Below are 10,161 nucleotides of genomic sequence, written 5' to 3'. Positions count from 1 at the left end.
AGAGACTTTCAGGATTATTTTGTCACAGACTCCAGTTGTACAAATGGGTAAGGAAGTCACAGAGAGGGCACAGGACTTACCCAAAGCCACATCACATGTTCCTGGTAAGCTTAGAATGCAGATCCAGGTTTCATTTATTCACTTATCCCGCAATCATTTTTCTACCACCTCCCAAGTTCTAGGATTGAACTTGACTTACTTACATAAATTTGCATTCATTTAACCAACATTTATATAAAACTTATTATGTGCCAGGCACTGTTCGAAGCACTTTATTAATATTATTTCATTTAATACTTCTAAGAACTCTGAAGGTAGGTTCTATTATCTGCAATTTACTAAGAAGATTGAAACTCCAAGAGGCCAAGTAATTTTTCCAGGGTCACACAGCTAAGAAGTGGATCATTGAGGTCTGGATTCTGGTCTGTCCTGTACTCCTTCATAACTCTGGATTGTTCACTTGGAGGCAAGAGAAGTTCAATCCAAGTAACATGCAGTGCAAACAGTGGGAGATCCAAGGCCACAGAACAGAGGGATCCTGGGCAGGCAATGGAGCTCTGAGGACATCAGGCTCACATATAGCTGGGATGGCCCCAATGATAGGCTTGTCCCCAGCAGCCTCGCTTCTGCCCGGTACGGCAGCAATACACAACTCCAGGGAACACCGTCCACTCTGTATTCTATGTGAATTATGCCCCGTGGGGTTGTGCATCGCAGCAGTAGCCCAGCCTTCATGTGCACAAGCAACTGCCAGCCAGGTATGTGCCTCAGCCATTTAGTCAGGGCTGCTTTTCTCCAAGATGAGGACTCCTCAGCCCAGAACGGATGCCTTGCCAGCCCCAGACGTAATGTGCCCCAGCTGCTGCTGCAGCCCCCACCAGCTCTGCGCAAGATCATGCCAAGGGCAGCCTGGGGGTCATATGTCTAGACAGTCAGACTGAGAATGGGGCTCGGCATCTTGGGAGAAGTTTCCTGAATTCCTCCCATCTTTGGGAATGGAAACTGAGCTAACAGGGAATTTGTTCTAATTATAGGGAAATAAGGAGAATTGAACAAGAGCTCCTCATAGCTGAACTCTTCTGTAGAGTTTCTCCAACCCCCACTTTGTTCTTCTGTTCCATGAGAAATTACAGAGCACCAACTCTGTGCCAGCCCCCAGCTGGGCATTGGGCACAGAGAGGATTAGACAGGGCCCTAACTGCCAGCAATGCCCATCTAGCTGGGCAGGGAACTGACAAGCTCAGCCCATGATGCTGTAGGTTCCATCAACAAGGAATCCTGGGGATGAAGGAGGGCACACGGACACAGGCTTCTGAAAGCCCAGCCTGGAGGTCAGCCCAGGCTTCCAGACAAAGTCCAGGTTGAGCTGCTCTTTCCTTTCTTCTCCCCAAACCAAGGGACCCAGCTGAAAGGCCACCTCCTTCAGGAAATCTGATTTCAGGACACACCCATGGTCATTCAACAGGCACCATTCAACAAATACTCACTGAGGAAAGAGCAGCCGATGAGAGAGAAGAGTTGTCCACTCGTGGGGTTATGGCCACTCCCTTTTATAAGAAACCTTTGCACACATTTCACCCATTGAACCATCTCAGGGGTGTGTGTGTGCGCGCGCATGTGTGTGTGCATGCGTGTGTGTGTGTGTTTGCTCTTAAGCATTTCCCATGTTTATTTCAAGAAATAGGCAAGTATAATGATTAAAAACCTAACCTCTAGAATGAGACATTCACATTTAAATCCTGAGCTCATCTATGTAATCTTAAGCAAGCTACTTCGCCTCAGTTCCATTTATCAAATTGGTACAATGATAGTTACTTGAGAAATCTGTGTGGATTACATAAAGGAATGCTTGTTAATTGCTTAAGCTAGTGCTTGGTTATTATTGTGAGTGTAAACAGGGGCAGTCCCTACTGCTAGTCACATCAGCCCACAGTGTGTTAAGACAGGCTCTGTACTTAGTAGGCACCTTATGAATGCCTGGTGTTTGACTGATGTTTGGCAAGAAACAGAGGGTAGATATGTGTGGCCTTTTAAAAAAAATTGTTTTTAGGCCAGGCGCGGTGGCTCACGCCTGTAATCCCAGCACTTTGGGAGGCTTAGGCGGGCGGATCATGAGGTCAGGAGATCGAGACCATCCTGGCTAACATGGTGAAACCCCATCTCTACTAAAAATACAAAAAATTAGCCGGGCGTGGGTGGGTGCTTGTAGTCCCAGCTACTCAGGAGGCTGAGGCAGGAGAATGGTGTGAACCCGGGAGGTGGAGTTTGCAGTGAGCTGAGATCGCGCCACTGCACTTCAGCCTGGGTGACAGAGCAAGACTCCGTCTCAAAAAAAAAAAATGTTTTTATTAAGGTAAATCTATCTTTAAAAATTTACCATATTTATAATCCCAGCACTTTGGGAGGCCGAGGCGGGCTCCCATCTGTAATCTCAACACTTTGGGAGGCTAAGGCAAGAGGATTGCTTGAGCTCAGGAGTTCCAAGGCTAGCCTGTCAACATAACAAGACCCTACCTCTACTAAAAAAAAAATTAGCCAGGCAAGGCACGGTGGTGCATGCCTGTAGTCCCAGCTACGCAGGAGGCTAAGGTGGGAGGATCACTTGATCCCAGGATTTTGAAGCTACAGTGAGCTATGATCTCACCACTCCACTCCAGCCTGGGTGACAGAGTGAGATCCTGTCTCTTAAAAAAAAAAAAAATTCACAATGTTGCGCAACCATCACCATTATCCATTTCCAGAACATTTTCATCATTCCAAACAGAAACTCTGTATCCATTAAACAATAACTCCCTGTTCACTAACCCCCAACACACACATACCACTATTCTACTTTTTGTCTCCATGAATTTGCCTATTGTAGGTACCTCATAACAGTGAAATCACACAATATTTGTCCTTTTGTGTCTAGCTAATTTAGCATAATGTTTTCAAGGTTCATCCATGTAGTAGCACATGATAGATTTTCTTCCTTTTTAAGGCTGAATAATATTCCATTGTATGTATATACACATATTAATTTACCCATTTACCCATTGATGAATATTTGGGTTGTTTCAACTCTTTGACTATTGTGAATAACACTGCAATGAGCATTGGTAAATACGTGTCTGAGTCCTTGCTTTTAATTCTTTGGAGTACATACTAAAAAGCGGAATTGCTGGGTCTATGTTTAAGTTTTTGAGTAACTGCCATACTGTTTTTCACAGCAGCTGTACTATGGTATATTCCCACCAGCAATGATGTGTGTGGTCTCGAAGTAGGAGTTGCCTCCAGGGGTACCTGGCACCCTGCTTTGAAGATGTTCCTCAAAGTAATGGAAGCAGAGTGATGATGAGGAGGGCAAGCCTGGAGGAGGTGCTCAGCATGGGGAGGGCCCAGAAGCCACACTGAGGAGGCAGTGGAAGGCCCAGAGTGTGGGTCTGGCCAGAAAGCCCTGGAGGATGTGACAGCTGCCATTATATGTCCACCATGCTGCCTGGGGGCAGAGTGGGCAGCCCCAGAAACAGAGAGAAGTCTGGGGAGAAGAATTCTAGGGAAACTAGATCCATTTCCATATGAAGAAAAGGAAGGCTTTCTGAGAGTCAGGGCCATTCGGTGACATGAGCAGGGAGCTTTCCATCACTGGAGGTGTGCCAGGAGCAACTGATGGCCTTTTGGACAAGAGGCCAAAGGGCATAGGAGGTTGGACCAGATGGCCTCTGCGAGTCTGTAGAGCACTGTGTTCTGAAAGTGTGTGACTCAAGGATTCTGTAGCTGGATTCCATTTAAGCCCATTTGTGGGCAAAGATTCTATGACTTGCTATTCCTACCCATCCAGACAAATCCTGCCCTGGCTTCTCTATGTGAGCCGTATTGGCAAGGACCCCTTATTGGCAAGTACATTGCTCAGCCTAAGCAGAGGTGAGCTTCATTTCCATTTATTATGTGACTCTATACATTCCTGTGACTCCCATCTACATTTTCAATTGGAAATAATACCATATGCCTACAAAAAAGAAAGATGCAGGGAATGGATTTGGAAACCGTGCAGAGGTGGGCAGGGGGCAGAGGGAAAAGGTACAAGGAGCTTTCCTGTCTGGCCTTCAAGGGCATCCAGAGCCTGCCCCTTCCCCACCACCTGTGTCCCCCACCCCTGCCTCTGGCCTAGGTGCAGAACTAACTTTATCTCTGTCTCTGCTGGGCACTCAGCCTCCCTGCTGCTGCGGTGCTCTCTTTTGTACTCTTCTCTCCTTCCAATCCTTCAACTCACGCTCCCTGCCAAGCCTGCTTCCTGGGATACCTGCTCTGATTCTCTCCGCCTATGCAAATCCTACCCATCATTTATGGCTCACCCAGAAAGCCCACAAAGGCCTTCTCCCATAAAGTTTTGTATGCTGAGATGCCACTCCATGCAATCATTCAAAGATATTTATCTATCAAGTGTTCAGCACCAGGAGTGCTAGAGGCACTGGGGATATATCAGCAAAGAGAGTCAACATCATCTCTGCCATCACTGAGCTTCGATTGTAGCTGGAGACACCAGAAAAGAAATACGGAAGCAAATACACAAAATTTCTTGGTATAGAGATGATTAGTGTGAAAACGATAGAATAGCAGATATAACAGAGGCTACTCTGTAGAATGGTCAGTGAAGACCTCTCCAAGAAGTGATATTTGAGCTTGAATTATGAAAGCAGCCAGCCCTGAGAGGATCTGGAAGAAGCCTTCCAGGGGAGTACAAAGACAAAAGTGACAGACTAAGGTTAGATTGTTCAAGGAACAGGAAAGTGGCTACTGTGGCTGGATCATGGAGAACAAGACAGAGTGGAAGATGTGGCAATAGGAAGACAGGCAAGAGTGGTGATTTAAGACATGGTAAAGATTGTAATTGGAAGCTATTTGAGAGTTTTTTTTTTTTTTTTTTTTTTTTTTTTTAGGGACAAAATCTTGCTCTGTTGCCCAGGCTAAAGTGCAGTACCACGACAATAGCTCACTGCAGCCTCCAACTCCTGGGCTTGAGTGATCTGTTTGAGGGTTTTAAGCATAGGAGGGACATGATCTGATTTATAATGGCAAGAAGATGCCATGGCTGCTGCGTAGAGAATGGTTTGTAGTAGGAAAGGCTGGAAGCAGGGAGGCCAGTTAGGAGCCCACTGCAGCAGACTAGGCAAGAGACAACAGTGGCTTGGACCTGGGAGGTAGTGATGTGAATGGTGAAGAGTCAGATTGGCCAGGCGTGGTGGCTCACGCCTCTAATCCCAGCACTTTGGGAGGCCAAGGCAGGGGGATCACAATGTTAGGAGTTCGAGACCAGCCTGGCCAACATGGTGAAACCCTGTCTCTACTAAAAAAAATTAGCCAGGCATGGTAGCATGTGCCTGTAATCCCAGCTACTTGGGAGGCTGAGGCAGGAGAATCGCCTGAAACTGGAAGGTGGAGGTTGCAGTGAACCGAGATCGCACTGCACTCCAGCCTGGGTGACAAGAGTGAAATTCCATCTTAAAAAAAAAAATCCAAAAGAGACAGATTTGAGATAAATTTTAAAGTTACAATAGCCTGGGGTTTGAGAGAAGAAGCTCTTTCTACTCAGAACTCACTTGCATGTCTCATCTTCACACAGGGGAACAAAGCCATCGTGTTTGCATGAAGCCCATTCTATGAACAGGCTCAGTCCCTCAGGCAGAGAGGCCCAGCTGTACTCCACTAAAGGGAAACGCAGAATCCTGGTAGGTCTGCTCTTCCCTGTGTGTTCTGGAAAGCACTTGCAAAGCCTGAATTCCCAGCCCACATGCTGGAGCAAAGCATTCTGTTATCCCTTTGAAACTTAAGAAAGTTGCAGAAACAGCCATTTACCTGTCACATGGTTTTCATAATTTCCCTGCCACCTCCGCTAATCACTGAAGGGAGTTTTGGCCGGTGGTGGGTCTGAGGCGGGCATGCTGAACTGCAGCTAGTTCATGAGTAGAGAATTGGAGCCGAGATCTTACGGGGCCCCTCCTGAGTGGGTCTAGCCACAGGGGTCTGCTCATGAATATTTGGAGGCCTTGACGAAACCTGAGAAGCAAACCGATGTGCAGGAGGGTAAACCAGGTGACGTGTTACAAAGTCGAGTCAGTGAGTACCTGTGAGCCCAGCCCGGAAACACCCATGTGTGGTGTAAGAGGAGGGTGAAGAATTGTGGACAGTGTGAAAGATACTGAGTGACTCAGGACTGACAGGGATGCAAAGTACATGATATGTCCATGTAGTCTCAAAAATCATACCTCTTTATTCCTTCTCTCCATGAAGATTAATATGTGTGCTGTTCCAAGCACTAGGATACAGTGGCAGAACATTAACTCAGTCCTTTTCTGCCCAGAAATATGGATTAAAGGAAAGTGCGCAATGTGGTTCCAATTGCAGACACTCAGGAGAAGGGGATATGAGCATGGCCTTGAGTGATGACTAGGAAGGCTTTCTGGAGGTGGTGACATGCCAGATTAACTAGAAAAGGCACTAAGGGAAATCCAGGGCTTCATAGCATCAGTGGAGAAAACTTGGACTTTGGACCAAACAGGCTTGTTTTCAAGCTAACTGAGCCTTTGTTTTCTCATCTATAAAATGGGAATTTTAATGCTTGTTTTAGGTATATTACAGAGATTAAAGGACCTTGGAGCAGATGTGCCTGGTTCAAAGTGAGGTTTCCTGAAATGGTTGGTTGCTGGGGGCCAGGGAGCAGGAGGTGATAAAGAGTCTCAGAGAGAAAATCTACAAAACTATCTCTTCCCCCTCAACCTATGGACAAGGTTAGGGTAAGTAGGCCCCAAGGCAGCATCCCAGATTGTTTGGGTCTGGTGACCTGTTTGCCTAGAGCTTCCAGAGGGCACTAGCACAGAAGGCAGCCAGAGAGGCTTTGCTAAGCGAATTTTCACAAGCCAGGAGGGCCCTACTCTGAGGTTCACACCTTGCGAACTTGAGATGTTGGCTAAGTTCAGGCTGTGGGAGGGGAAGGCAAGTGCTGCATCAGCTGGATTTGGTGGGGAAGTAGGCCTCCAGGGTGGAAAAGGAAAATAAAGAGAAGGATTCTTGCCATAGCTTGCTCACAGAGAGATGCAGTTCTCAAATCTCCCCACCTCCCCCATCCCAGGATTTTGTTGGAGAACTAATCTTTGGAATCTGACCCAGCAAAGACTCGCCTCCTCCAGGAAGCCTGCTTGGACTGCACTGGTCACTTACGAGCTCTTACTCCTCCAACCCTGTGCACCTGACTGTGGCTTCACTCTCATATGCCAAGTACGTGCAACACATCCTGTTTTGTACAGTTCATTCTTGATTCAGATTGTAAAAGTCCACTAGCAAAGGCAAAAGGAGGAGGAGAAATTACACACTTATTGAGCCCCTACTGTATACCTCACTCCGGGCTAGGCACTTCTCATGTCATCTCACGTAAATCTTGCAACAGCTGTCCAATGTAAGGGCCACTATCTCAATTTTACAGATGAAAGGATAGGCTCAAAGAGATAAGTTCTGGAATTGGAACCCAAGTTGGCTGGACTATGAAGCTTTTCTAAAGTCATCTGTCCTTCAGGGCCTACTTCCTCCACATCAAAGCAAGATCCTCTGTGGGAAAAAGAGTACATTATGCATACTGTGGTGACGTGTTTAGAAAATGCTGCTTGTTAAGCATTTCTCTTAAGTTTCCCAAACCACAGTCGCATATTCGAGGCTCTGAGAAGTCCTGCAGAGAAGACACCAGACTAACTTTACCTAGCCTAACATTCCTGAGGGACACCTCAGTTGCATTATAGCTTCTATAATAACATCCTCCAAAGCCCCTGGGCACACACTTTGAGATACGCTATCTATAAAGCAAAGATCATCAAAATGGCAGTATTCAGGAACAAGCTCTCTGAGAAATCTGAGGTGGGTGGTGAAAGCTGAATGAGACGTGAATAAGAGGGAGTAGGAAGAAGGGTATGTGAGGTGGTGCAACAGAGAAAAGGCACAGAGTTGAGAGTGAGCAGCATGAGGGGTCAGGACCAGGAGAAGACAGCCTCAGCTGAAACTCAACATCTTAAGTCCATGAACTGTTGTCTTCTTTGACCACAAAAGCCTGTCTTTAAAGCCAGAAGCTCAGTGTGACTCTGAGTCATGCTATCAGGTGTTGCAAGCAGGAGCCAGTAGTTGAAATAAATATGAGTACGTGTCCCTATTGCCTAAGGAAACAGCAGAATGCAGCAGGAAGGACTTTAGTTAGACATTAGTTAGGCCATCAGTAGAAAATTCTAATCAATCCCCCCTAAACCACATGCATTGTCCTACCACCATCCCATTGCTTATGTTCCCCACACTGTAATGCTCAGGTGAAAGAAGCATGGCCTCCAGCAATGAATATCTTCCTTTCTGCACATTTCCACCTTCCCAGCCTCCACCATGCAGTTCATTTCCGAAAAAAAGACTTCTAAAGGCTCCATGCTCTCTGCTTTCTCTGGAATCAGAGGTCCCAATGCATTTGTCCTTCCAGAGAAGATGCTGGAGACTTAAGATGTCAATGTCAGGATTTGGAATCTTGGTACCAAGATTGGGCAAAGAAGTGGTCCTGCCAATTTCTGCCTAGGACTGAGCGTACCTGGAGTATTATACACTATCAGGGCACCACAGTGACAAATGCTGGGGTGTCCAAGTATTGATAGCCCAGATGGGAAGCTCCTAGAAATTGCCATAGGAGACATAGGTTAAGGAAAGTGGCGGGGAGACACTTATTGAGGGAAATACAATCAAAATCTTTAAGTAATAGCTCACATTTGTACAACCCCTTATGTAGTCTGGAGTAGGGCTTCTCAAATGTGGTCCCTGAACTACCATCATCACCATCATCTGGGAACAAGTTAAAAATGCAAATTCTTGCACACCACGCCTCCCAGAACACCTGAGTCAGAAAGTCAGGGTAGAGCCCAGTCAAGAGTTTTAATGAGGCCTCAGGGTGGTTCTGAAGCACGCTCAAGTTTGAGAACCTCTGACCTATACTCCCCTTATAATACTAGCTTCTCATGAAAATAGCATTATTATTTTTTGTTGTAGAAAGCATCTCAGAAAGGACATTTGTTCAGTCCTAGGACTCACAGCAGATAAGCTGCAGAGCTGGGGTCCCAACCCAGAGGGGACATCAAATCCCTGTCATTCTGCTCCCAAGGACACCAGACTCTAGCTTTGTAGGGGGAGGAGCTTCCCAGCAACAGGACAGAGCTGTCTGCCTAAGGTACTAAGAGAGCTGCCTGCCCTGGCCCCAGTCAGCCTTAATTGGCTCATTAATAGCTGTGATTAGCAAGAATGGAGAAGTCTTTATCTTTGAAGTCCCTGGGCTGTGCTAGAAGCTTATGCAGGGAGCTTGCTGTGGCTAATTAAAGCTGAGCTGTGTTTCCTGTCAAGGGCCCAGAGTGTTAATGGCTTCAAGCAAGAAAAATTAAGCTTCAATTTCCATTCAGGGGTAATGGATAGAACCAGCAGAATGAAGATGAGAAGACAGAGTCTTTTAAAGGGGCAGGGACCCTGGGCAGGAAGCAGAGCTCTAGGTCTTTTCTGAAGTGATAGCCAAATAGGTGCTGCTTGCTTTAGGGGGGATGGGGTGGGGGCAGGCTCAGATCCTCACATGGCAGCCCCAGGGCTGACATTGTCTTCATTCAGTGTGTTATTAGGATTTTTGAGCACTTCAGCTTCTGGCCCCTGATCACACCTGCTCAGATGGGTGTGAATTGTAAGTGGGGAGGGAGAGCTGGATGACAGTCCTGGTGGTAACAGGATCTCAGAGGCTGTGAGGGTTCTGGCTTCAAAAGTCATATCCATTGCAGACTTGAGGTCCTCCAACTACTACCATTAATTTATCAGTCACCTTTCCTCGAGTCTTCACTAAATGCCAGATACAGGGCATTATCTCATATAATGTTGCCAATAATCCTACAGAAATTGCACAAGGCATAGGTACATTAGTTAATTGTCTTGTCCAGACATATGTATCTGACAATGGACTAAACCCAGCTGCAGCTGATTCAAAATCCCTTGTCCTTAACCATGAATATAGCCAAGACACCCTGATCCTTGAACTTTCTTGAGGCCTGGGTCATTCCAAGCTTCAAATGCTAACTCCACCCAGCCATCTACCTGGTGAGGGCTCTTTTCTTATCCACCCCCACCCTACCTCTA

The 10,161-nt window shown here is 46.5% G+C and overlaps 2 annotated features.

Moving 5' to 3' along the window:
- Window positions 760–1,260: an enhancer, noted in NCBI's record as "H3K4me1 hESC enhancer chr1:48498970-48499470 (GRCh37/hg19 assembly coordinates)". NCBI's record gives its function as "activates a minimal SCP1, AML or CMV promoter by ChIP-STARR-seq in naive H9 embryonic stem cells {active_cell/tissue: H9 hESC(naive)}" and the evidence as "EXISTENCE:reporter gene assay evidence [ECO:0000049][PMID:30033119]".
- Window positions 9,054–9,885: an enhancer, noted in NCBI's record as "OCT4-NANOG hESC enhancer chr1:48490345-48491176 (GRCh37/hg19 assembly coordinates)". NCBI's record gives its function as "activates a minimal SCP1, AML or CMV promoter by ChIP-STARR-seq in naive H9 embryonic stem cells {active_cell/tissue: H9 hESC(naive)}" and the evidence as "EXISTENCE:reporter gene assay evidence [ECO:0000049][PMID:30033119]".

This window comes from Homo sapiens, chromosome 1 (genome assembly GCF_000001405.40).
Source record: "Homo sapiens chromosome 1, GRCh38.p14 Primary Assembly".
In the NCBI taxonomy this organism is placed as follows: Eukaryota; Metazoa; Chordata; class Mammalia; order Primates; family Hominidae; genus Homo; species Homo sapiens.
The sequence above is the reverse complement of the archived record's forward strand: the minus strand, read 5'-3'. Positions and strand labels throughout refer to the sequence as shown.